Source organism: Homo sapiens, chromosome 12, assembly GCF_000001405.40.
Source record: "Homo sapiens chromosome 12, GRCh38.p14 Primary Assembly".
Classification (NCBI taxonomy): domain Eukaryota; kingdom Metazoa; phylum Chordata; class Mammalia; order Primates; family Hominidae; genus Homo; species Homo sapiens.
Genome location: NC_000012.12, coordinates 2,624,245 through 2,651,254, shown reverse-complemented (window position 1 = coordinate 2,651,254; position 27,010 = coordinate 2,624,245). Strand labels below are relative to the sequence as shown.

At 50.9% G+C, this 27,010-nt stretch overlaps 1 protein-coding gene across 56 annotated transcripts in view, besides 3 other annotated features; it reads right to left on the bottom strand.

The window, feature by feature from the left end:
• Nucleotides 1-27,010, bottom strand: part of CACNA1C (calcium voltage-gated channel subunit alpha1 C) — a 727,171-nt gene that overhangs the window by 46,696 nt on the left and 653,465 nt on the right. For 17 of the 56 annotated variants that reach the window (XM_017019943.3, XM_017019947.3, XM_047429516.1 and 14 more), the window contains 2 exons: nucleotides 16,875-16,958; nucleotides 2,748-2,780 (listed from right to left, as the gene is read on the bottom strand). In XM_017019943.3, coding sequence (XP_016875432.1) covers nucleotides 2,748-2,780; nucleotides 16,875-16,958 — 117 coding nt within the window. Of the gene's footprint in view, nucleotides 1-2,747; nucleotides 2,781-16,874; nucleotides 16,959-17,542; nucleotides 17,627-27,010 lie in introns of all 56 variants that reach the window. The other 39 variants (XM_017019934.3, XM_017019946.3, XM_017019949.3 and 36 more) reach the window with 7 other exon arrangements.
• Nucleotides 12,209-12,710: an enhancer, noted in NCBI's record as "H3K4me1 hESC enhancer chr12:2747711-2748212 (GRCh37/hg19 assembly coordinates)". NCBI's record gives its function as "activates a minimal SCP1, AML or CMV promoter by ChIP-STARR-seq in primed H9 embryonic stem cells {active_cell/tissue: H9 hESC(primed)}" and the evidence as "EXISTENCE:reporter gene assay evidence [ECO:0000049][PMID:30033119]".
• Nucleotides 22,981-23,650: an enhancer, noted in NCBI's record as "H3K4me1 hESC enhancer chr12:2736771-2737440 (GRCh37/hg19 assembly coordinates)". NCBI's record gives its function as "activates a minimal SCP1, AML or CMV promoter by ChIP-STARR-seq in naive H9 embryonic stem cells {active_cell/tissue: H9 hESC(naive)}" and the evidence as "EXISTENCE:reporter gene assay evidence [ECO:0000049][PMID:30033119]".
• Nucleotides 23,651-24,322: an enhancer, noted in NCBI's record as "H3K4me1 hESC enhancer chr12:2736099-2736770 (GRCh37/hg19 assembly coordinates)". NCBI's record gives its function as "activates a minimal SCP1, AML or CMV promoter by ChIP-STARR-seq in naive H9 embryonic stem cells {active_cell/tissue: H9 hESC(naive)}" and the evidence as "EXISTENCE:reporter gene assay evidence [ECO:0000049][PMID:30033119]".

Sequence of the window (27,010 nt, the reverse complement as noted above, 5' to 3'; positions counted from 1 at the left end):
AGCAGTCCTAGCCTGTCTCCCGTTTGTCTGGGCAGACAGTCCTGTGTCCTAAGTGGAGCCCAGCACTCTCCGAGGATGTGGGTTGGTGGCTGGCCTCTCTCCCAGCTGTAGGTATGCGTGGATTTGGGGGTCCTGGTGGGCTGCCCCCTGAAGGACCTCATGCCCCAGCTGCTTGGGACTCCAGCACTTTCCTTGTATCACCTCCTTCTACTTTCCACAGCCCCTGTCCCAAAGGGAGGGATTACGGGTGCTACTCAGTGCTGGAGAGGGTCTGGTTTGCAGCCCTTGCTCCGAAGCTGTTGCCCTCCTACTCCCCTCTGCCCTGGGGCCTCTAGGAGGCTCCAACCCTTCAGGCTGTACAAGACCCTGGAAGGGAGAGGGGCAGCGTAAGGGAGGGGAGGCCTCCCTTGCAAGTGAGGCTTCTGCAGATGGTCTCCCTCAGGGGCCCTGGGGAAGGGGAGAGGGAAGGTGAAGGGGAGGAAGGGTGGAGTGCAGGCCAAGGTGACTGGAGGTGCTTGGGCTGCTGCTGTTGGACCTGGGGGAGCCTGGGGGCTTGGGCACATGCCTGGCCAGGGCTCAGGGGGCAGGACGGGCTGCCCTGCGGTCCTCTGCCTCCAAACCTGAGAACATGAGCTGACTCCCCACTTGGCCCTCCTCCTGCCCACATCGGCCTGGTGAGCAGGAACCCAGGAGGAAGCCACTGCCAAATCCGGAGCTAGTGCAGCTCACCCAGACCTGCGGGCACCGGGAGAGAATGGACCCTCGGGGCTTCCTGTTACTGGTCCCGTCCACACCTCCCGCGAGGTGGGAGGGCTCAGGTTGTTACTAGGGCCACCTGGGCCCTCCCCACTCCTTGCTTTACCTTGCCTTTTATCTTTAATTATTTCTAGGTCAGACTCTCACTGGCAATATCCAGCGCTAAAGCCCTTCTAACTGCGCTGCCTGCTCTGGCCCACCCTGATGAGGCGTCAGAGGCCGCTCCCCTCACTATGCAGGACAGGAGATTATGAGGGAAGCAGGGAGACCCGAAGGCAGCCACCACTCTGCCCAGAAGCAAGCCAGAGACCTCTCCTGCTTTCCAGATCTTCCAAACAGGAGAAGAGCAAAAATATTTCTTATATTTCAAAATTAGAGCTGCCTCAGTTCCTCCTAAGGCTCCCGTTCCCCTCAAGGCAGGGGACAGACAGGTGGGACTCGGGACCTGCTGCACGGGTACCTGAGGGGCTGGGTCAAGAGCTGCAGGCAGCAGCCCTGTCCTGCCCTGGGCTCTTCCCTGCCTGTGTGTTCTGAAGCCTTTGATGACCTTAATCTCTGTATTTCTATCACCTGTGTATCTGCTTGAACTTCTATTTTCACTCCTTAAAAGGAGGTTGTGTTTCCCCAGAGGAGTATGCAGAGGAGGCTTAGGATTTTATAACTCAGCTGTCAGTTCCACCGTGTTCGAGAAAGGAGAAAAAAAAGAACAAGCTTAAGTGGAGAACTTTAGCTGCAAGTGTCAAGAGTTTGAGAAGTTGGTGCCACAGGGGCATCTGGATCTGCTCAGTTAAAAAAACAAAATAAACAAACAAAAAAACCCAAAAAACGCCAAACACCAAGCTTGCAGCGTGAATTCCATTCCACTGTTCAGAGCCCTCCCCTGTGGCTGCAGTTTCCTAATGCTGCTCGAGAAGGAGAATAAACTCACTGCCATTCGGATGCACCAATTTGCTCTAATAAACCAAATAACAATGCAAAAAGGAGGCAGATCCAGATGGCTGATCCCAGAAGCAGAGTCCCCAGGAAGCGGGGTAGAGCACCCGGGCTCAGCCTTTCCTGTGGCAGCCTTGTGGCCAGGCAGCGCCAGGCTGCACTGGGGAACACATCAACCCACCCAAGCTTGCCTCGGCCTGCAGACTTGGTGGCTTGGTCAATCAACCCCACTGGTCCTTCTAAAAACTCATACTTGGCCCGGTTAGAAATGCATAACGGCAGCCTTTTGGAGGCGGCTGGGCCAAGGAGGCTTCAAGGTCACACTGAATGGCGTCTCTTTTATCACTTCAACCAACGCGAATCAGAGACTCCTACAACAGGAGTGGTCCAATCAACGGAGCTTGTTTTTCTGCTTCCAGCTTGCTGCGGAACAGTGGCTGCAGCCTAATTTTAACGGACTTCAGGAATTTAGAAAAATGCAAGGGATAGCAAGGTTGGAGTGACTGGAAATTCAATCACGCGCTCAGTAACAAATCCCAGCTGAAACCTTTTATGGTGGCCTTTCACTTGAAGCACAGGGAAGCTAGGAGCCACAGACACTGATTAACAGGAATCATCGTCCACCCTTCCATCTCCTGCCTAGAGCACCTGTCTTCCCTCCTTACCCTGGAGCCCTACCATGGCTCTCATAGGTACCCTCTGCAAATTTCTCCTATCAGATTAAGGTTAGAGGCTTTGGCCGGTGGAGTCCTCAGGGTGTTTAACAGGAAATGGACCTCGGGTCCCATTCTCTCCCAGTGGCTTGTTAGATAGTCAAGATCACAGTGAATTACCACCCCAAGGAAAGCTCAGGGGTAAAACACCACCACTGCACAAACAGCATCTTCACAGCTCACACGAGAAGGGAACAGGCAGGCAAGGCACACGGCAGACACAGTGGCCACATGCAGTGAGAGCCAGGCAGGGCTCCCAGGGACTCTGGAGTTCGGGGTGGGGAGAGTGGGGGTGTTAGAGGGGGACACGGAAGCCGGGAGCATGGTCGGGAGGGTTGGTCTTACCATAGAGGGAGAGCATTGGGTATGTTCAGCTGGCTTTAAAGAAAGGCAGATAGAGATAAGCTGTAATGAGTCTCCCATGAAGATGCCCGGTATTCTAGGTCTTGGCTGACACGGGAGCAACACAGTGGCAGAAGAGGGCAAAAGGAAACAAGTGAAAGAAACGTGAAAGCGTAGGCCTGGCAGGTCCTGGGGCGTCCCCATGAGTGTGGGGTCTGTGTTGCTGGGTCTCATGTCAATCAAGGACCCACAGGCATTCTCCTACCTATGCCCTTTAAATAACTCACATTCATAATATTATTAGATAAGCAGATGAGGTCTTTGGGATTTTGTGGATGGAGGTTTATAATTTTTTTGTTTGGTTTGGTTTTAGAGACAGGGTCTCAGCTCTGTTGCCCAGGCTGGAGTGCAGTGGCATAATCACAGCTCACTGCAGCCTTGAACTCCTGGGCTCAAATGATCCTCCCACATCAGCCTCCCTAGTAGTTAGGACTATAGGAACGTGCCACCATGCCCGGCTAATTTAAATTTTTTATTTTAATTTTTTTAGAGACAGGGTCTCACTATACTGCCCAGGCTGGTCTCAAACTCGTGGGCTGGCCTCAAGCGATCCTCCTGCCTTGGCCTCCCAAAGTACTGGGATTACCGGTGTAAGCCACTGTGCCAAGCCTGTTTTAATTTGTTTTTTATTAGCCATTGTTAACCTATGAGGACTTAGGCTTTGTGCACTTTAGCTTACCCCAGGCAGGGCCAGCTGAAGGACAGAGGCCTTGCTGACCCCAGAGCCTATCCTTGCCCACATATATTTAAACAAAGCAAGGGCAGTGGCCTCTCAGGTTTAGGGGAGACCGACTTCAAGTCAACACTGAGGAGGGCCTCCAGAGGTGGCCTCAACCCACTCCATAATGGGGCTTGTTCTGAAAGCTCAGGCTCAGGCAGGAGATGGCCTTGCTTAGCTGTTGGTCTATAGGTGCGGCGAGCCCTGACCGTTGGCATGAAATAATGACTGTTGAATTGTTTTCTAAACTTGAAAGCCCTGCACACAATTTAGGACACTAACACCCCAGGAAGCTGTTCTCACGGGTCTGACTGCTGAACTCATTTGGGGGTAGGAGCTGAGGAAACTGGCCTCTGGTGAGTATCCCAGGGCCAGCCCTCTCCCCGAGTTCCTGGAGCCTGGATCTGGGAAGGTGCCCTTACGTTTTGGGCTCCAGCACAGAGGGCTCAGCCCCGACTGATCTTGACCATCTGAGCTGCTAACTCTTTCTAGAAAGTCAGGACTTGGCTTTTACTCTCCACTTTCAGATGGTTGCTCTTGTATTTCTGTTTTTAAGGTACAAACAAGGAAAATGTGTTATGGAATTTTTGAAGGATGGAAATGTGCACAACTAGACATTTGCTTGCAGCCTGAAAATATTTCTTGGGTAACAGATTTCTCAGCAAATTCTTTTTTTTTTCATAGCTAGTTGGTAGGATGCCCTTTTAGGGGATGGTGGAGATATAGGGTGAGGTGAGGGAGGAGAAAGAAAGGGACACTTCTCTAGGCTTTACAGAACACTCTAAATCTGGATCTCTAGATCTCAGCTTCTGCTTCATGAAGATTCCACCTGCCAGGTCAGTCCTTGTGATTGCAGGGTGTGGGGTCCCTAGGATTTGGCTAGCAGACTGAGATTGAACACAGAGACAAACATAGGCAGACACACACACGCGCACACACACACTCTCTCTCTCTCTCTCTCTCTTTCTCTCTCTCTCTCTCATACAGGCATGCACAGAAGAAATTTCTTGGCAAAGCACCTAAACCCCTTTTGCTCTGGTGTGTGATAGTTGCCCAGGATGGTCAGGTCTAGCTATCCACTGGCACCTTTCTGCCCCGCTCCTGGCCCAGTGCTTGAGCTCCCTTGCTCATGGACAAGGAGTTCTGTGTTTCTCAGGCTTCAGTGGGGCAGGGAGGGAGGTCCAGAGGGAGGTAACCTACACCATGTTAACTCCTGAGTGTTGGGCAGAGCTCCCAGGAAGCTTGAGCCATTGCTGGCCTCTTGGATCCATCCTGAAAACCATCACAGCTGCTCATCACTTCTAAGAACCCTGGGCAAATGCTTGAAGGTCTTCTGGGTCAATCCCAGCCTGAACAGGACCAAAATGGAGATAATTCTGACAACGCACCCAGGTACTTGGCTTGCCTGGCCTAATTGAACCAACCTCTAGGCATCAAAAAAACAAAAACAAAACAAAACAAAACCAAAAAAAACCTGTTTTACTTCTTAAACATTCAGAATCCTTCATTTGGGATTTTTAAACATTTGTCTTAACTGTCTTTTTTCTTGTTGCATTTTATAGCTCCCATTTAAGACCTCATTTATTTAAGTCATATTTCACTTCAAGACTTGACTTTGGATCTGTTCAGATAATCTTGATAGTATTTTGTATTTTAGTAACATGTATTGATTTAACATTTCCTATGGCATGTCTCTATAATGGCAGACAAGAGAAAGTCAGGAGCAGCTATGAGGACAGTAGAAAGAGGAAGAATGAGGACGCTCTGAGATGTCTGTGTGGCATTCTCCTGCCCCGGTAATGACAACTCTCCAAAGAGACCAACTTTGGAAGAATCTAGAGACTCAAAGATTAAGTTTTTCTTGAGCCTTAAGCCATGCTGTTCACAGGGCATTTTTGAGTAGCTAGGACACTGTTGCCTCTACCACCGCTCACACCTGTTTCCACATGAGGAGCTGTTTACAAGGTCCGTGGTCTCATAAATGAATAACCACTCGCGATGAAATCAGAGAGCAATCCCTGAGTGATTTCTACATGGTAACAATAGGAAGCAGCCTAAGCCACAGCCCCTGCCCCCAAGGCCCCCGAGGTCTACTGATGCCCTGGGCGTTTCCTACATGATCCCACGTCATCCTTAGAGTCTTTGGTACCCTTTCGCCTTGGCAAATGAATCCCCTGCTGAGATGGAAGGAGAGATTGGACTTGCTGGAGTTGGACATCTGTGGTATCCCAGGATCAGCACTTTTAGTTTCTGTGGTTTGCCACTCTCTTTAAATACCAAGTACAGCCCCTTGAGAAACTACAAAGCATCAGTTCTACCTTTGGATGTAAATTCAGAATTTGTTGGTAGCCATCAATACTTGGGCCATTAATCTCTGACCCCTTCCCAGATTTGCTGCCGGTGCCCTGAGTTAGTTTGTAGTTTCTCCCATCTGTGGTCTTTCTTGGGGAAGAAAGGGGCCGTAGGATTCCCTGAAGACATACACCCCCAAGCCTGGAGACTGCATTCCCCTTTTAGGGCAGCCAACAGAGCTGCTTACATAACCTGAACATTCTGGCTGATTTTTCATATGGCACTGTCTCCACTAATGGTAGGCGTGGAGAAATTTCTGAGCAGCCAATTCTTTCATCCTTGTTTTCTAATGATCTGGTAATTTTCAATGATTTCATGATATTGGGGCAATTAACTTAATTTGTTCACGTAATTGATATAAATGAAATGAGGTTATTATTCCGTATCTGAGGCAGAGGTCGGGCATTTTCAGAGACAGCGAGCTCTGGTTAGTGGTTCCAGATAACAGGCTCAGGGCAAACAGAAAGGAAAGACGATTTCCTTCCTTCAATATGCTTATGCAGATTGCCTTGTTTTGGCAGAACTGGCAGTGAGGAGGGGAGTGGTGCAGGGCAGCTAATGAGAGGGAGGTCTCTGGAAAGCTGTCTTTCTGAATTAAGTTCAGGGTCAAATGAGAAGTAACACCTCAGTGGATGAAGTCTTTGTTTCTGGAAGGCACTCACTATGCACTTATTTTCATTGGAGTGCCAGGTCTAGGCCACATTTAGGATGCTGAGGGGCGATACTCAGGGAATGCCAGAGGCCAGCAGAGACAGGATCCTCCCAGGTGGAGGATTTTCCCACCAGGATGGTGTGGGAGGCCGCAGGATGTGTTTCCTGGTTGCCACATTACATGGTCTCTCTGGAGACTTAAAAGGTAGTTGAAAAATAGCTCTTCACCATACGAAAAAAAGTTTTTTAAAAATTATTATTTTTTTAAAGCACAGCCAAGGGTAAGAATTATAGAAATTCAGGGGCTGAGCAGTAGATCTCTAGGCTGGAATACCCAACCCAGTTGTCCTCCACAATACTCTCCTGCGGTCAGGTGGCCAGAGAGCATTGTGAAGGGGGCATAAGCCATGGCTGCATTCTCCTTGGCAGGCTGATTTTGAAAGGTGCAGATTACCTCTGATCTCCTCCAGGGAAGGCTGGTCTTAGCCCTACAGAAAACGGCTGCCCAATTCCAATGGCTGCCATTGAGACAATGCTATGACCTCAGTGTCACTAAGATTCCACGCACCTCTGAAACAGATGTCAAAAGTAATGTCATGGGAGTGTGAGTCTCTAAATAGTGGTCCTGCTACAGAACCCTTGCTATATTTTTTAAAATGTCTTGTCCAGAACTTAGGGAGGTGGATCTGATATAAATTTCATTCCAAGCCACCTGAAGGTCTCCATCCAGCCAGTACCCCCTCCCCATGCTCCGCTTCTCCGCTTGTACTACCTCCAATCTCAATTTGACCTGCAAGACACAACAGCTGGTTCTGTTGGGGGGTGTCATGGTGTGGAGGAAGACCAAGGGGTGGGGCTTTGAGGGAGAGACCTCGGAGGTGATCTAGGTTGGGAGGAGGTGGTCAGGCTGGTGCAGAGAGAGAGCTGGGAATGGCAGGGGTCAGGGGCTGCTGGAGACATCTGACGCCAACTTCATGGCCAGGAGCCAGCAGGTGTAGGTTAAGGGTGTGTGTGGGGGGATCCTCACGATCCTTTTATCTCCCCTTCCCACCAGGAGAAATGCACATCTCAGGAGGAGTCGGGAGGTGCTGAATCTTGGAGCCACTGGGTATGGCAGCGGGGCAAGACATTTTAAGGAGGCCAAAGGCAAACATGTTTTAAGCTGCAAGCCTTCTAAAGCTGAATGAACAGGTACTTGCTAAGAGAGGCGAAGGTTAAACAAACGTTAGCTGGGATAGACAGAAGCTGAGGGTAGAGGCCATGGCTTTCAGACAGAAGAGCAAATGAATGAGGTATGCGTAGTTGAAAGCAATTCTAAGCAGAATTCCCATTTTGGTTTGGTGTGAGTGGAGAGACAGAAGTGATGGAGGAGAAGAACTGAGCAGAAGAAGACAAACAAAGGGCAGGGAACGCACCAGGATAAAGCTAAAGATGGACAGGGACCATGGAAAGGACTCTGTCCCGGGCCACCACCCCCAGGTCGGAAACCCACGGGCTTTTGTGTTTCTCCAAAGTGGAATTCCAGCTAGAAGGAGAGGGCCCTTCTTGCCTTTCTTGTGTGTTTGGAGTTACAGACACTGAGTTGAAATGCCCCTTCAGAACTCCCCTCGAGGGGTCTTTGGCCCCAAGGGGACTGGCAGCCGGGCTCCCAGCGTGGGGCTGCAGCTCCTGGCCCTCTTTTGCTCTTCCTGCTTTGTGTGTGAAGCTGTGGATGGCTGAGAGCTATGCCCTGTGCTACTGGCTGCAGTGACCAGTTTGCTGGCTGGAAGTGGCTGAAGCCTCAGGGTCTCACTGTTATCATGTGCAGCCTGATGGCTCCCAAGGTGTTATTACCTGCCAGAAACACACACTAAACAAGACTGATCACAGAATTGCCTGGGAGTTTCATCTTCCCCTGGGAAGGACAGCCCAGCGTCTAGTCATTCAAACAAACCAACCAACCTCCACCAACAAAAAGCCCATGAAGAATAAACGAATGAAATCAAGGTGCCAGTAGTACTAACTACATCAAAGAATTCCTTATGCCAGAGGGAGAGGTCACAAGATAGAGAAGAAAGGCAGAGAAACAGAGTGGGTGAGGCAGGGCGGGGCAGAGACTCAAAAAGGAAACAAACAGATGATTCCCTGGGTGGGAGCACCAAATATGAGAGTAAGTGGGCATCAACAGAAGTGGCCATGCTTCTCGAGGCACCCTACGTATCTTTGAGCCTTCCTGTGTCTCCTCACTACCAGCTCATGGCATCTTCTAGGTGCCTTTGCTTTACGAGCTTTCTGGAAAGAACCCCAGCAGCAGGTTGCTGAGCCTGTAGGAACTGAAGTGTCAGACACTGGCCAGGTACAATCAGTTGTCTGGCCACAACAAAAGGTGTGCTAGGCAACTTCCTCCCACCCTTACACGGAGGGGAAGGGAACAGAGGGCCGTATGTGGGTTGATAAGATGAGAACAGGAAAGGAAAGAGCATTTGAGGGAAACAAAAAGTGACACAGTTTGGGGCAGAAGGCAGAGGGCAAGGGGAGCCTGGATGGGTCAGAGCCGCATCAGGACCTCGGCAATCTCACACAGCTGAATTAACAACCCAAATTGGATGCCTATAAAAAAACAGGTTCCCATGACCTTTCGGGTCAAACCTGCAGGGTACTTCTCAAGGCAAAAGCTTTTGAGAAGACTTGCTGCACCAGGCCACTTCTCAGGCCCGTCTCTCTGTCTGCACCCCCTCAACCCCACATCACACCAGTTCACACAACAAGCCTCGCCCTAGACCTTGAGATCCGGGGCATTCGGCCTCCTCCCAGGGGACTGCTGATGGTCAGATGCTTCATCCCACTTCTAGGAATGAGGGTGGCTCTGCTAACTCTCTCAAGGGCCAGCCATACTCTTAAGCAGAGTAGAAAACAGCCTTTGTGGGGGGATGGGGAGGGACCTCACAAAAGTAATCTCCCCACTCAGGGGTCACGTTGCTAAAGGCTCACCTGAGATACAATAAACATTCCACCTGCAGGTTGAGCATCGCCTTCTCTTCAAGGTACAATGATCTATTAGAAGGGCAGCTCACTGAGTTGCTACCACCCAGCATGAATGACTGTGCTGGAATCACTTCATTTTGAAACAAGGCATCTTGGTAGCATTAGGTTTGTTGGGGGTGGGGGCTGTTGCCGAAAGTGGGAAGAAGCTGGAAGGGACTCCGAGGGCAACAGGAGGCTCCAGCAATGAGAAGGGGGGCTGGAGGGAGATGTCAAGGATAACCTCTGCCCCACCCAGCTGTCCTGAGACCACGGAACTTGATTTAATCTATGTGTCCTAGAACCAGCTCAGGCCACACCCACCAATGTCATCTAGACAATGGTTGGCAACAGCACCCACTGGAGCCCCCTACTGACCGGGAGTTCCGGTCAGCTTGCTGTGAAAAACCTGTGAAAATGAGCAAGCTGTTTCCTGCCTCTGGCCTTTTGTGTCCTCATCTAGAAAATTTGTATATCCTCAAGCAACATCACACAGCGGGTGCTCAAGGTACCTTTGAGGAATAAACAAATAAGGGTTTGGGCTAGGTGGTCTCTAAGGTGTGTACACCCTAATGTCCTTGGACAAATCTGCTTTCTGACCACATCTCTCTACCCTCCTTCCTCATCACAGCTATGGGCAGTGGGGGGCACTCAGCCTTGCCTTTCTTGTGCCCATTCTGGCCCCTTCTCTGCCATGGCAGGGGGCAGGAGGCGTGGTTACAGCCACAAAGGCAGACAGAGACAGCCAGGCCCACTGTCCAACGCAAGCACTGTGGGTTGCAGGCCGAGAGAGAGGGCTGGAGTCGTGCAGGCTGAGCTGACTCACCCCTGAGGGGGTGGACGTGCAGCAAGTAGCTCTCTCTATGACTCAGGACTGACTGCTTTTCCTCCATCCTTCCAGGACCCAGAGCCAGAGAGGAGCCCGGCTTGCTTGTGATTGTTGTGGAGAGTAGTGAGTGACAGTTATAGGAAGTTGTGCCTGGGGGCCTATGGTGGAAAGATACTAAGGTAGAAAGGCTTTCAGGGCCTGAAGGTGGGGAAGACTTGGGACCAGTATCCCGACATGCTGATCCCTGGACACTCTCTGCCCTGCCTTGTCGCTGCTTGCTCCTTCTGGCCCCCCTCCTCCCAGTCTCTTTCTTCAGCTGCAGATGCAGATGCCAACTGGGCAAAGGGAGTGGTGCTGCTCTGCGCCTCCTGGCGTTTGCCTTCTGTTCCCTGTAACCAGAGACACGGATCCGGGTGTGTAGCCTGCATTCTGTCTGAGCATCCCAGGGGGATCCCAGGCTTTGTGGATCCAGCATCCGCAGCATCAACCGACACAGAGAAGTCAAGTCAGGCAGCTCCGCCCCAAGTCCCGTTGCCAGGAGGCACTGAATGAGGAGTGCAGGAGCCACTGGGCCCTGCCCTTCAGTGATGCCCAGGCCAGCCTGGCCCAGGGATTTAGCCAGCGGGCACTGTGAAATGCAAGAGCCAATTCTTGGACAGAAATGAGTTTGAATCCAAGATTTGCCTCCCATTCACCGTGTGGCCTTGGGCAGATGTTCGTCCTGTCTGAGCCTTGATTTCCTCATGTGGAGAGTAAGCACACGGGTTTCATCCGATCATGTGTATGGTGTCCTCAGCATGATGCCTGATCCGTGCTCATCAGGTCATCCTCATGTCGGTCCTCTTCTCATGTTCACAGCCAGTGCCACCTTCGCTTAGCTTTATTTCCCTGCTCTGGACACTCCTGTGCATCGTGCAAAGCCTCCAGCAATTCCTCCTGAGAGCTGTGCCCAGAAGCTCCAGGGCCAGTGTTCTTTCCCCTCCCTGTGCCTGCTCTGCTCCCCGAAGGTCTTTCTCCTGCTCCTTTTCTCTGGAGAATCTCCAGGTGAGCTCCACCAAAGCCAAGGGAGCCTGTCCTCCCTTGCTGCCCTTCAGCACTGTGGCTTCAGGGATTATCTCTATGCAGATGATTCCCTGGAGGAAGCATCCCCATGACACCATGGGCGCCTGATGACAGGAAACACCACCTCAGAACCCAGCAAGGCAATGGGGGCAATGAAGCATCCACCTCCAGCTGTCAGAAAATGCCCAAGTCAGAATCACTGCAGGCTAGAGTTGCAAGAGACCATCCTAAACCTCTCACTCCTCACTTTTGCATTCAAGGAAATTGAGGCCCAGAGAATGGAGTTCATTGCTCTAAGTCACCAGAGCTGGAAGCATAATCAAGGCTTCTTCATTGACAACTTGGGAATGTTTCTCTATGTCCATAATGCAGGAATTCAGGCTGCCCAGCACTTTCTATTGTTCAGTATATTTTAAAATACAAAATGAAAAAGAAGTGTGTCGGGAAAGGCTGTTGGCCCAAGCAGTCAAATTAATTCCAGTTTGGGATGTTTAGGGAGCAGTTTCTGGTGCTGTAGTAACTTTCACGAACAATCACAGGAAAATATGATTTCAGACCCAAGCACTGAGGAAGAGCAAGAGGCTTCCCTAGAGCAGCAGGACATCGCACTCTTACCTCCCCGGCTCACAGAGGAAGAAAAGCTCGGATTTAGACCCAGGTGATGCATTGGCAGGAGAAGGGCCGGGGCCCATGGCTCAGATACTGAGGCTGAATTCAGCATGACCGCACGAGGGGGCCTGAAGACGGTCCTCTTGTGACACCTGGCAGTTGTTCAGCGGCATCTCCCAGATGAACAGAAGTTTGCGGGTCCCGATCTCCTCGCGCCAGAGGCCCTGGCCCAGGCCTCTCCGCTCCTCTGCCTCTTGTCGCTTCTTCTTCTCTAGTGCCGGGGCTTTGGGTACCATCTTGTTGTGAATGACTCCATCCCCAGGCCTCTGACCTGTGTGTCCACCTGACATCTCCCCTCCAAGGGCTAACAGATACGTCAAAACTGTGCTCTGGCATTTCCTAACTCACACAGGCCCCGCCTCCAGCCCGCCTCCTTGCCTACCTGCTCCATCCTCCTCTGATTTAGGCCAAACCTCCCAGTCCTCCTGGGCAATTCTCCTCCTGCCCCCATGCAGTCTGTCAGGAAACACTGTTAATTTTGCTTGCAAAACAGAGTGACGGGCTGGCCATTTTCCACCGCTTCTACTGCCACAACTTTGCTCCACGCTATGCATCTTCCACCTGGATGACTGCATTTGCCTTCTAAATGATCTTCCAGATTCCACCCTTGACTCCTACAGCCAGCCAGAGTGGTCTCTTTAAAAACCAGTCGGGTCACGTGACACCTCTGCTCAAAGCCACCAGTATGTCCCCTTCTTGCTCAGAGTAAAAGCCCAAAAGTGGAACCTGTTAGTTACCCCTCTGCTACCCTCACCTCTCCTTTCCCAGCTCAGTCCGCACCAGCCAGGTTGGCTCCTCCTGCCCTGCTACCTCTTCTCCCGATCTCCACATGGAGAATCCTCAATTCCTTCATGCCTTTGCTTTGTTCAACTGTCACCTCCTTAAGGAAGCCCATCTTATTTAAACCAATGCCTGCCATCACTGCTCCCCAGCACCTTGGAGCCCCCTTATCTGGCACTACTTTTTTTCCTAAAACGTCTATCATCTTCTAACACACCGTATGAGTTCCTTATTTTCTGTCCTCATTGCATTGTGAATTGTCTGATTATTCCCTTCTACAATGCAAATCTGTGAAGGCAGGGGCTTTTGGTTTGCCAGCTGATGGATCCCAGGTGCCTCAAACGGTGCCTGACGTATAGGAAGTGAGACTCTAAATGCTGTGGATTGAATGAATGATGGTTCCTGAGAGGGAGGGCCCCATAGCCCGGAAAAGAGAAAAGGTGAGACGAGTTTAAATGTGGGGAATATTTGGAGGAAAGTTAGGGTGGATAAGGCATCTGGGGAGGGGTTTAGGAGTTAAAGATGGCAGGTTACAGGTGAAACGCCCTCATGGATCACACTGAGGCTAACAATGTAGACTCTTTCCAAATAGACCATATCCCTGGGAATATATGTCTTGTGATGAGAGGATGACTAAAAATACCTGGGAAGGCCCGGAGCAGGGCCCAGGGATGCAGGATTTTCTGAAGGATCCCATGGGATTGGAAGAAAATGCTGGGGCCGCCCATACGCTGCTAATGCCCTGGAGGCAGAATCTAGTGGGAGGGAGCGACCTTGCTCAATTAAGCTGCTGTCCCTCACACTGGCTGCGATGTGAGCCCAGGGTCAAGCCGGACTGTGCTTTCAGAGCAGGCCCCTCAAGGCCCAGAGTTATGGGCCGTGGTAAGTGTGTGTGTGCTGGCTTTGATCTGGTTGTACCTGTTGGCCATCTCTATGGGTCTAAGCATATCTGGGAAACAGGGCTTTCGACTGTGGGTTGTAAGTTATAATTAGACTAACCAAAAGGTCTTGGTTGGAGACTAGGCCCTCCGAGTGACACCAGCAGTAACTTTGGAAGGAATGTCATTTGCCTGGGTGCCACAGTTCCTCCCATTCCACAGTGCTTTACCAGTTTATATAGAGTTTTTAAATAGATGCTCTTATTTGAGCTTCAAAACACACTGCTGTAAATACCACATTCCTCTGACAGATGAAAAAACAGAGTCTCTGGGCATGTTGGTAACGCTTTGACAGGAAGCAGCAGCAAGACTCAACAATCTGCCAGTTTTCTGACTTCAAGTCCAGCTTTCTCCTCTCCCAAACCGCCTTCCTGCCTTGGGGGATGTTATGTTTGTTCTTTTGGTTCGGAAGCCATCAGTTGTGTGGGAGAGGGAGAAAGTGGCTCTGAAATAGGTGTTGGGTCTCAGGACACCTCCTCTTGCTGTCAGTCACATGCACAGTTGCCACCCTGTCCCCCGACAATCCTTCAGTGGGACTTCAAAGCCACAAATGCCTCAGCCCGGAGCATCTCAGTATGGGAGGACACAGGGGCAGCGGAACTCTCAGGGTGGCTGATTATTGCTTATTTAGAAAGTGGAAAAAACCCTGTGCTTATTTAAGATATCAATTACAGAATGTAAGTTCTGAGTAAGTCGTGGCTAGTGGCAGTACACCAGGAGGGACAGGTGAGGTTTCTCTTTACCAAAAGGCACTGTGGAGTACAGAAACCAGGAATTCTGGCCTAGCAGGAAGTGAGCTGGCCCCAGGAGGGCTAGGCTGACTCTGAGGCACTGGAAAGGTACTTAATCTCTCCATCATCACCTTTAGCATCAGCAAATTGGGGATGAGAATTCTTACCTGTCAAATTTAAAGGGTAGTTTAGAGTTGTCAGATAAATGCAAAGTGACTTGTAAATAGAAAACCACTATTCCAATGTCAGGAGCTGCTGGACGGGTTCAGGCCCCCTCCCTATCCCCAACAGAGCCCCCTTTTCTGTATAAATTTTATATCCTAGAAAATGCTTTTTTGTTGTTTTTTCTTTTTCTTTAAAGACATGAATAGTTTGGGAGAAAATTGCAGACTGAGCGATGGGGCCTTGGTGACTGTAGGAAGAACCCATAGGACCCCCAGAGCTGCAGTGGGCCACTGTACAGGGGGGCAGCTTGCGGTCACCTTTCTGCGTTTTCCTGCTGTGGGGCTCTCGGCCCCTCTGCATAGATTTTAATGTGGCTCTGCACTGCTGTCTGGAAAGGAAACCTCCTGAGGGCAGAGCCCACTGCTGCCCTGTCTTTCCTGTTTCTCTCCCTGCAGTGTCTCCCACGGCTGAGCACTGCATGGCACAAGCTCTGGGCACAGAAGCTCTGGCCTTTATGTGTATGAGTGGGAACAGCAACTTGGGGCTCATCCAGCTGCAAAACTGGGGTCCATTCAGAAAGGGGAGAGGAGTCTCAGAGCACGAGTAGGAAGACTAATTTTAAAAAAATGATCTGAGGATTTACTGGGAGAAGTTAAGAGAGAGTGCACATACACACATACACTCACACACATACACACATGCACACATGCTCACACACACACAGACATGCACTCACATATACACACATACACATACACACACACCGGACAAAGACAGTTCTCAGAGACACAGGGAGACAGAGGGGCCATGGTCTCTGGAGCTATAGGGTGAGCAGGGTTGGGGCACCAGACTACAGCGGGGGACATATGACAAGTGTGACAACCGCTTTCCATAGTCCATCTGCTAAAAGAGGAGCAGACAGGGGTCTCTAATCTGGAAGAATCTGGCAGGCAAGATAACACGGCAGTGTAACTGACTGAGAGCAAAAGATGGAGTGGAGAGGGGAGTAAGGGTGCATGGAGGAGCTGGGGGTGGTGGGCTGGGTAGTTCCAAACATCTTAGATCAAAACTCTAAAGCATCTGCTCTGTGCTGTTATTCAATAGTTCAGTGCATCAAAAGTCTATGCAAACATTACCAAGTCTCTTAATTAAGGAAAAATAATAACGAAAAAATTAAACAACACATGTTAAAGACCGCAAGAAGGCTTGCCTATAGATAAAGAGAGATTTAAACATGCCAGGTAACAGAAAAGACATGTGCAGGAACTGGTAGGAACTGTATAGGAGGAGGCACCTCTTGGGAGAAGGAGGTGGCAGGAGGCCTTGCAGAGGCTGGGGTGCTGTCTGAGGCTCGGGAGCCAGAGGCAGGGGTGTGAGAGGTCAGGGGTCGAGGGCAGGGGTGGCAGGTGCATGTGGGAGTGAGGCGCTCACATGGGGCCTGCTTCCACAGCAACTAGGAGGAAAGGTCCACCCAGAGCAGCTCTCAGTACGTCACCCACCACCTCTAGAGAAGAGTTCAGACATGACTGATCCTCCCCTTCTCGTTCCTCTTCCAAATGAGCCTGCAGGGACCTGGATGCCTGCATGGGCTGCTGATGTTAAATGAAAACAGAGCCCATTCAACCCGAGATCATGGGTGGTCCTTGGGCGAGGGTGGGCTATGGCTGACGGTGTAGGCTGAGTCTTAGCCTTATCTCAGGGTGTTCCACTTTGAGAGAGCTCCCTTCTGAGATGCTGTGGGGATGCAAAGGAGAGAGTAGGGAAGGCAGTGGCTGGAGGAGAAGGTGGAGGTCAGAAGAGGTTTGGGTCCCTGCCCCAGCAGCTGCCCAGAGTGGCAAACATCCCCTCATGTTCTCACTCCACAGCTCCCAGAGCTGCTTCCTCCGATACAGTGTGAGTCATGCCAGGCTGATTGTATGGGAGAGAGAAAAGATGCAGCAATCAGAACTTAACAGAAAAGGGGAAGGCCTAATGCGTTCCAAAGTTAAAAAAAAAAAAAGATTTCAAAATAAAGCAACAAGGAAAAAAAAACCTTCAAACCAATTCAAACAAACAAATTAAAAAAAAAAAATAAGAAGGTGGGGAGAGAAAATAAAATGAAGGAAACAAACCGGGAAAAGGCAAATGAGTGTTAGAGCAGGCACGGACGGTTAGGGACAGACGCCATGTACTTACGTTTACCTCGGTGATTGCTATATCAACAATGCTACCCACAACAATCAAGGCGTCAAATGTATTCCATGCATCACAGAAATAGTGCTGCATGGGGCAGAGCAGCCGGGGAGAGAGAGAAGAAGAACCAACAAGAAAGGACAAAACAAAACAAAAGGGAAGAGGAAAAATGAAAAAAAAAAAAAAAAAGGTATGGAAAAAGGGAGAGAAGAGAAAAAAAATGAGAAAAGAAAGAGGTTACGTGGGCATATTAAACACTCTCTTACCACTCTACAGTTCTGGCAGCTCAAACCTGGATAACCTGGTTTTCGCAGGGTGCAGAGGCCTGACAAAAGCTGGGTTAGTTCAAAGGTGGCGTGGGGCTGTGGCCGCCCCGGGGAGCCGGGCGGTGTGTCCCCTGCACCGCCACTCCCTCTGCTCAGCTCCACGCCCCAGCCCGGCAGCGCCGGGCAGAGCTGAGGTAAATGGAAAAAAAGGAGGAGAAGCTCCCACTTTTTTTCCCCCACAGGACGACGGCAGGTTCAATAAAAGGCATGACTGGAGGCGGGTAAAAACAGGAAATTAAAAAAAACATAAAAGAAGGTAAACAGAGAGAGTGAGAGAGAGAGAAATAGACGAGGCAGAGGAGGAGGAATGAGGAGGTTTCCTGGGGAGGGCAGAGTAATACTCACATTAGTCTCACTGAGAATGACGTCAATTATGCTGCCAATTACGATGAGGAAGTCAAAAACATTCCAGGGATCACTAAAGTAACCCTACATAAGGGAGGGCAGGCAGGATGGGGATTAAAAAGGAATATTAGACAGACAAGAACAGAGCAACACCACCATCAGAATCATCGTCCAGGCACCTCCGTGTTGCCTCTGGAGTTCCGGACGCCCTCACCATGGCCAGGAGCCCAGGAGCACCAGCAAGGAAGGAGCAGCAGGGAGGCGACACTCTAACCCTACTGCCCGCATTCCCTCGGTCACGTGGCCCCCATCCTACAGATCCACCCACCCTACCCCTTCTCCACAGAGGCCCTGTCCACGTCCCACCAGGGGCAGGAGTGGGTGTGGGGGGCGTGGGTGGTGCAAATCGCCAGGCGGCAGGATGTGGCTACTATGCTCTCTTCTCAGTCCACGCTGAGCATCTCCTGCACCCCCAGTCCTCTTCCAGCAGAAGGGCCTGTCTGGAGGGAGGGAACACAGGTGTGTGACCCCTCAGAGGGTAGCGGGCTCGGTCCTATGGGTGAAGCTGGGAATGAAAAAGGCTTTGAAAACCACAGCCATCAATGTGGGCCGCAGGGTGGCAGGTTATCTGGGCTCACTGGTGACTCATATAAAGCTCAAAAATAAAAGAAGGACCAAATTGTTAAAACAAGATCCATAATAAGTGCAACTCTTGCAGATCAAATCAGGGTACCCTAGTTCCTGCACTGGGTGCCCCAGTGTTTCCAGGGGCAGTTCCAACCCTGGCAAAGACTTTCCTAAGGGAAAGGAGACAGAGGCAAGGCTGGGCTCCTACTCCGGGAGTGTGTTATGTGGCTCTTGACAGGGCTTTCTGAGGCTTTCTAAGCCCCTCCCCAGGTTCTTTCATGGTCATTTGGAGGTAGGGTCCTGCTGAATGCAGACGCCGCGCAGAGGGCACGCGGTGATCAAAGCGTTTCCTGAGGATGGGTTTGCTAGGGATAGGCTGGTAGGTTGGGGGAGGCTGGCTGCCTAGAAGGGGATGAAGACAGTGGTGCCCTGAAGGAGAGATTCTGGCACAGAAGGGGAAGACCAGTATCCTGACTTTACCACTTGATTCTGTAGCTATGGATTTTGTTTATTTTTCACCATGTTTGGAGAAGAGAAGGGACGAATGTTCTTAAAAGACTTTTTTCATGTACTTGGACAACAGGTCAACCAAGGAATGGGCTGTCCCAGAGGCCCTATAGGACCCCAGGTGTCCTGGATGAGTGGACTCTTTAGCAGATGGATTTCTTGGGTGTAGGAGGTGTAGGGGCCTGCACAGCGATGTTCTGTGACTGAATGGGTGCATACACCCCCAGCTACAGGCGATCATATTCCCCATACACCCCCAGCTACAGGCGGTCATAGTCCCCATACACCCCCAGCTACAGGCGGTCATATTCCCCATGGGTGGAGGGGGAAGGACCGAGTACTACAGAGATTTGTCTTCTTTAAGAAAAAACATTCACGCCTTTAGTTTAGAAATGGTCTGCGAAGGGGACAAGACAGGGCTGGCCACATTTTTTCAGTGGGACCAGTATTTGCCTGCCCTCTGGGCTTCCAGGAGGTGGAATTCTGAGGTCGGAGTGGGGTATGAAAGCATGAAGCGTCCTCCGAGAGGTTCCCCAGATCTCTCCCCAGCTCACTTGAAGGCTGCCAACTTTTCCTCTTCATTTTTTACTCACAAAGCCAAGAATCTGTGTTCTTCCCTTTCCTCCCAGCTCTATCCAGCTCCCTTAACTTCCCACTTCCCAGCCATGCCCTCTTTCCAGAGGGACCGAAAGACATGCTGTCCTGGGGCTGTTATTCTTAGCGTGGGAGGTCAGGTCACAGGGAAAGGGGCCTTTCGGTTCCCAGGCATTTCTGCCGAAAGAAAACAGAAACGCCACCCCGGAGACTGGACAGCCAGGATGGGTGAAGCAGAGATTAGCTGACCAGGGCGTGGGTGAGGTGAGGGTCAGCTTCAAATCAGGGCTTTCTTGTTGGCTTCCCAGGGTATTTTTCTGAATATAGTGGAGCCTATGAGGCAGAGAGACTTCTTTCTCCCATTTAAGTCACATGCTATGAGCAGGAAATAACCAATTCGCTCTCAGGTTCTCAGATATCATTCACAGGGCAAAAGGAGAATAGTGATTTTGGGGAGAGGGAAATAAGAAGTGAAGACCCCAGATGAACTACAGCTATGCATAAGACTTAAAATTAGATTTTGGAAAACACTGGGTGACCCTCTCGATATGAATACTGTCTTTGTGGGGTAGAGCTATTTCAGAAGGGAAGGGCAGGGAAGTCAAGGAAGAGAAGGGAGACAAACAAGAACAAGAGCAGAATCCAGGAATTCTCTGCATCAGCCTAGAAAGCGTGCAAGAAAACATTATTTCGGTGTGGGAGGAGGAGGAGAGAGAGGAAGGTGTGAGTGTCAGTGCTCAAGAAAGGAGGATGAGTTGGAATCTTCATCCACCAGAGAGACCTGAAACAAAATGGGTAAGTTGGCCTTGGTCTGCAACACCTCTAAGATGGAGAAAGGAAAAGGAAGAAATGGACAGAACAGAGCAAAGGTTTGGTGTTGAAAACCAGAGAAACACACACAGTTAATCAGCGGGCACACCAGGGTGAAGGGCTGAGACCTAAAGGAACCCTGTTAACCGCCTGGCTGTGCACCCCTGGTCACCCTTTCTCCCAGATTTCTTTGTATATGTGCAGACAGAAGGCACAGCCCCCTCTTTCTTGACCATGGGAGCCCCCTCCTCCCATGGCTCCACGCTGGCTCTCACTGGATTGGCACTGGCTGGGCTCTGTTGGAGTTAAGGCCTTGTGCCTCACACTTGTCCTCAGCAGGCTGTGCTACTCCAGGCTTTAGACTGACATCTGTTTGGTGGCACACTACCTGGGAGCTGCAGAAACCAACCAGGTTCCTTGTCGCTGAGAGCTCCTGTGCCCCAGCCCTGGGGGATTTCCACAGAGCTGGAATGCAGTGGGTGAGGGTACATGTCTGGGCACAAACAGGGTCCCTTTAAGAGGCAGCTCTTCACCCTGACCCATCCTCCCACCGTCCTGCCTTTGGTGCCCAGAGCCCCTCAGTCCTCCAGCTGGACCATGAAGACAATTTCAGGGCCAGCTTTCAGGCCTCCATCCCCATTGCCCCTTTGTCCCCTCCTCCCACTATTTCAACAGCCCCTTCCTCCCACTTGGACCACACCCTGCCCAGAAACAAGGCCCAGGTCCTTCCTGCTGGTCCCCAAGTCCCCAGGTGGTTGGGTCCTAGGAGGAATACTTTTCCCAACACTCTCGGGAGTGGAAGGGCTTGATGCTGTCTCATCTCTCTTCTCTCTGTTTTTGCCCGCCCCCTCGGTTGCTGGAAACCATTAGTAATAGGGGTTTTAAGGGTGTAATGGAGAAGGGAGGGTGGGAAAAAAATCATACACGTCTTACGAAATCAGTCTGACCTGGAGTCTGGTTATACCTGTTGCCCCTTATTTCTCTGGTGACTGTGTCCCAAATGGTTGAGAAGTAAGGGGTTGGAGAAAGGGTTTTCCTGGCTCTCCTTGAAGTGGCAAACCAAACCTCTACTGTCCAGCTCCTCAGAGCCACGCAGGGCGGGCTGCCCAGAAGGGAAAGCGTTTTTGCAGCTGGAAGCCTTGCCCTCGCCATCCCCCAATCCCACAGGCTGAGTGGATTTCCCCCTTCCAACTCCCCACTCTGGAGATGTGTTCATAAGATGGGCCTCTCCTCTGGCCATCTCAGGGCAGGTCCCAGTACCTAGGCCTGAGTGCCAGAGCACCTCCACTCACTGATAGGGGTGGGCTGAGAAAATGGTCACCAAATTGTTATTGACATCAGAAAATCATTGCTGGGAAGGAACAACTGCTGCAAAAGCATCATAGGATGCATTTCACATGCACGAGAATTGTGGATTTTCTTCCATTTTGGTTGTCCATGCCCTGATTTGGCTCCATCGTTGGAGATATACCAAGTTGAAAGAGGCAGCATACTGGTGAAAAGCTTGATCTCTGGAGGCAGATCTGGATTCAGACACTACCTCTGCCACTGACTAGCTGGGTAGCCTTGAACAAATAACTTAACTTCCCTATACCACTGTTTCCACACCTAGAACATGGGATAAAGCACAGAGTTGAGGTGAGGGTGAAAGGAGACCATGCATCCAAAGCACTCAGAACTTGCCATTTCTTCTGCTCCCATCCACAAGGCACATGTGTCCTGATCTTTTATTGCTTTCTTCTGGTCCCAGATACTGTGTCTTAACTGTGGGGCCATGGTCCAGTGGTACTTCCTGGCTGTAAAATGCCTACCTCCCGGGTCCTCTGCTTTTTGGAGACAAGACATGCCCATCTCCCAGTGGGAAAAGGGATGGGATGACTACCTATGTAAGAAATCATGGGCCTCCTGCCAACTGGAGGAACACTTCCCAAGCCCTCTGTGTGCAATCGCTTAAAACAAAAAGCAACCAGAGTCCAGAGGCTTCCACCTCATTACACCTTCAAGTGCAATTTCAAGAATCTCGTCATCACCGTTGTCTTTATTCTAGTCGGCTGGAGATTGAGCTTTCTGAGGGGAGGTAATCATAATCTGATTATTATCCATACAAGCACCAGTCCTATGTCTTGCATAGGGTTAATGTGAGGACCAATACCTAGGGAAGTATTTTAAAAAAATCCAAGAGATGCCTATTCTTTATACCGACTCTATCCGGCCTCCTCAGGAATAGGTGTTCTGGATGTGTGAATGTTCCAGACAGAGGATGATGACCAAAATCTCTGAATTTCTACCTTTAAAAAAAATGTTCACTTTAAAGACAGGGTCTCTCTCTGTTGCCCCAGCTGGAGTGCAGTGGTGTGATCATAGCTCACTGTGGTCTCAAGCTCCTCAGCCTCCCAAGTACTACGCCCCTCTAATTGTTTAATTTTTTTTTGTAGAGATGAGGTCTTGCTATGTTGCCCAGGCTGGTCTGGAACTCCTGGTCTCAAGTGATCCTCCTGTCTCCGCCCTGCAAAGTGTTAGGATTACAGGTGTGAGCCACTGCGCCCGGTCAGCCACTGTCATTATTTACCAGCGTTGCTCTGCCTAGTGACGTAGGAGTCACAGGTTCTATTTTGGGTGTGGGACTGAACAGCAGGGAAACAAAGCCTAGGTGTGTGAAAGGAGGAAGGAGGAAGCTGAAGGTTCTGGAATCTTGAGTTCTCCTTTAGTCTGTCTCTCAGGTCTTTTCTGCCCATCCTCCAGGTCACTAGTATTCAAACTCTCCTGAATGAAATCTGGCTGACGCTGTTTGGGATTGGCGACAGGGTGCAGGTTGTCACGGCTGCATTTTGTAAGACTCGAGTTCATGTAGACAGTTAACTGCTAGGTTCTTAGAAGCCACTCTTCTTTTATCGAGAGGGGTGGTGGCAGGGGCCCATTTTCTGTCTGTTACAGGAGAGCTGCGAGGGGACTGCTGTGGAAGGGGTGACGGGTGCATGCCTTTGCCCTTCAATTCCGAGTCCTTCGCTCCTTCTCTGCCCAGAGCAGAGGCCGCACCAGCTTTCAGTCAGGCTGGTGGCAAGAAGGCGTCCACGACGAAGTCCGCACACCTTTCACTCCTTGCCTGGGGTGGTGCTGTCAGTCTTAGGCATTTGGAGGGCAGAGGTGCTGTCACTGCCATGACTCATTTCTTTCTCTTCTCTGTTCCTTCCTGCCTGCCTTCCTTATCTGCCCCAAGAAACACAGGGGAGGCAGCCAGCTCCTGAGTTCCCCGGCCCTGTGGGGAAGCTGACTCTGAACACGTGGTTTCCCCTCCTAGGACACATGGGTCACGGAGCGTGCTGGCTGGAGGGGCTGCAGGACTTCGGGGCTGGATTAGAAGTGGGGCTGCTGAGATTGAGACAGAGAGTGGAAAAGGACAACGGGTCCTCTGAAGGGCCCTTGGAGACAGGGGTAGGAACATCAGTCAGGAAGCAGCTGGAGGCTGCCACGGTGGGGTGGCGCTGAGGGAGGGAGGGGCAACAGATGGCTTCACCGGACCTAGGGAAGGGGGTCCCTGCAAGAGAGCAGAGGTCCTGCTTGAGTGAGCAAGCACTGGAGAGAGCACAGGTGCGCCAGGCAGGGCGCTGGGCAGAGGTGGCTGTGGGGGAGGGAGCTGTGCCCAGCTCCTGGAAACACTGATCTTTTCTGGGTCCCAGAAATGATGAGAGCCGAATGAACCGGGGAGAGGAGCTGGGTCCCACTGGCAGCTGGCGGCGGTGGTGGTGAAGTCTCAGTGCGTGTCTGTGTGTCTATGCAGAGTTGATCCCATTGAATATCATGAAAACAATGGTAACCGACACCAAGCAGAGATAATATAAATTGTATTACACCAGGATGCCATTTAGACATAACAGTAATCATGGAAATTAGTGGCACCTAATGGAGAAGGCATAACTGGAGCACACAGCTGCCAGCAGCCTGGGAGGAGGTGGGGATTTCTGCCCTCCTCTGTCAGCTCCCATCCTGTGATGTGTTAATTCAGAAGCACCCCAAGACACACGCTGCACAGCTAGCTTGAGGACTGCTTGGACAAAGGGCAGGAGTGGGCAGGGGGCTGGGTGCTTGCCTCGTGAGAGGACCCCAGGCGGGTGGAGGCGAGGGGGGCTGCTCTCCTAGTTGCAGGAGGAACACACACTCCTTAGAATGCACACTTTTAACTGGACACTTTCTGCTCCCATTTTTCTTTGGAATTAAGGCTTATCCTCCCCAGGACATTTTTGAAGGCCTTCGTCCATTTATTTACTCATTCATTTATTTATCTCATCAACACATAATAAGCACTTACTAGAGGCCTGTAACTATGCAAGGCTTGGGCATACGAATATGAATCAGCCCTCCTGAAGCCTGCCATCTTCCCCACTGAGAGCAGATGAAAATTTGGGGTTATGGGTTAAGCTCCATTTGGGGGTCTCAGGAGGCTCTTTTTCTGCCTCAGTTTGTACCTGGGTAGATTGGGGGATCCCAATAGCTGCTTCACACTACTCATGCTGGAATAAATGAGCCGTTTTCTGCAAAGGTGCCTCCAGGACTAGGGTGCTGAATCAATGCCTCCTTGGAGAGGGATAAGGCTAGGCAGACACATGGCCATGCACACAGGCAACTTTAAGCTCAAATGAACAGCACCATGCACTCTGAAGAAGGGAAGGCAGGAAACAAGCAGCATCAGATGTGGCTGGAACAAGGAGGAGCAATCTCTCCTTTGCTATGGGAGGGCTTGAATCTGTGGCAGCCTTCAAAACCGCCTGCCTGCCTAGAACCCCTTCCAGTCCAATCCACAGGACCAAGGCCATGGAGAGAGCTTTCCAAACCCCAAACAGAGAGGTCCCTTCCTGCTCAGCACTCTCAGAAAGCTCCCACAGCCCATCCTGTCACTCCTGCCTTGTGCCCTCTCTAACCTAGTGGGCGAGTGCTCCTGGAGAGAGCACAGGTACGCCAGGCAGGGCGCTGGGCAGAGGTGGCTGTGGGGGAGGGAGCCATGCCCAGCTCCAGGCATGGCCAGGGCATCTGGCCGGCAACCTGCACCCACACTCTTGAACAAGATGTGAATAAAATGATAGACCGCCTTCACTTCCCACAATGAGCCTCGGGTTGTGCAGGCAGGTTACCTAACTTCTCTGTGCCTCAGCTTCCCTACCTGCAACATGGGAATAACCAGAGTACTTGCCCTTGTAGGGTTTTTATTTTATTTTATTTTTAGAGACAGGGTTTAACTCTGTCATCCAGGCTGGAGTGCAGTGTTGCAATAATATTTCATTGCAGCCTCCATCTCCTGGGCACAAGAGATCCTCTCGTCTCAGCCTCCCAAGGAGCTGGGACTACAGGTGTGTGCCACTATATCTGTCTAATTTAAAAATAGAATTTTTTTTTTTTTTTTTTAGAGATGGGGTCTTGCCCAGGGTGGTCTTGAACTCCTGGGCTCAAACGGCCCTTTGGCCTCGGCCTCCTAAAGTGCTGGGATTACAGGTGTGAGCCACTGTGCCTGGCCCCTTATAGGGCTTTGTGAGAATGATATAAGTTCACACCTGCCCTGTCTGGCACCGAGAACGTGCTCACTGATTGCTACAGTTGCTACTATTGCTGTTGTTGGTGGGGTTCTTGCTGAGAGGCTACCTTCCTGTACTGCCCGCAGCCTGTGTCACAGAAGGTCCTTCCTGCCCCTAAGGCAGGCTGACCCAGCGCAGGGCCGGAAGCACTGGCAGCACCTCGGGCTTTGGTGGGTCGGGTTATCGCCGACGCACCCTGTAGGTCTGGGAATCCCTCTTCTTCCTACCAGACCGGTGTGTTCCAGTTTCCTTCCCTGTGGCAGGGCCAGAGACGGAAACCACAGTGTACTTTCCCACCGGGCTTTTTTACACCGTGTGAATAATTTTCTACATTAAATAATTAAATGTAATAGCTAATACTAGCCTTCCCACATGAAGGCTTTATGCAAGTCATATAATTATTTTTTATGCTTCATAGTGACTTTTAAGCTCTCCAGCACAAGGCCGGAAAGAAACCTGTCACAGTGTTGTAACAAAATGCAAATCCCTGAGTGCAGAGCCATGGGGGGCGGGGGGAGCGGGGGAAGGTCCTCCTGGCAAAGCTGGGGCCTGCCTGTCTAAGGAGCACTGCGTGGCACCCGGTGCCCCGTGGGCACTCTGCAAATAAATAATAATCAGGGGAATGCGGGAGCTTGGCCCACACAGCTTTGGCCTCTGAATTCTGTGCCGATGGCGAAGGCTGGGGCAAGAGTTGCCGCATTTCATCCGCAGCTGCTGCCCTTCTTTCCCGGTCCCTTTTCTACTCCTTTTAATGCATTTCTCTACCTAGGGATTTCTGTGGACGGTGGCAGACACTGCAGTTTCTCAATAGATTGGATAAACAGGTTTCATCTAAAAGTCACTAAGACGCTGAGTCAGCCAGCCTGAGGCTATGTGTGGGTTCTTAGAGAGGGGGTGACACTGGCCACCACGGGGCGCTGTGGAGCTCTGTAGGGACATGGAGTATACAGTGGGTGCGGAGACTATTCCAAAAAGAAGAGCACTGGGTCCAGAAAGGATTGAAGACCTAGCCCAAGAGAATGTCTAGGTTTCCGTACGATTTTTGAAATAAAATTCTTGCTTGCTCTTCAAGTTCTTCAATGTGAATATTCCAGGTTAGTGAGGAAATGCAGTCATACAATCCAAGATACGGTCATATTTCTAGTGGCAGTGTTATCCTTGCTGAGCCTCGGCCCCTGGCCAGCCACTGAAGACTCCCCCACTATCAGTGTCACTGAACATCACCCATGAAGGGTGCTCCTTGGATAAGTATTTCCCAAACATTCCACAGGGCCCAAGGATGCTCCTTCACTGGGCAGAACCCTCTCACACGTTGTGGGACTTTCAGCATCCTCAGTCCCACCCGCTAAACACTAAATGTCAGTTT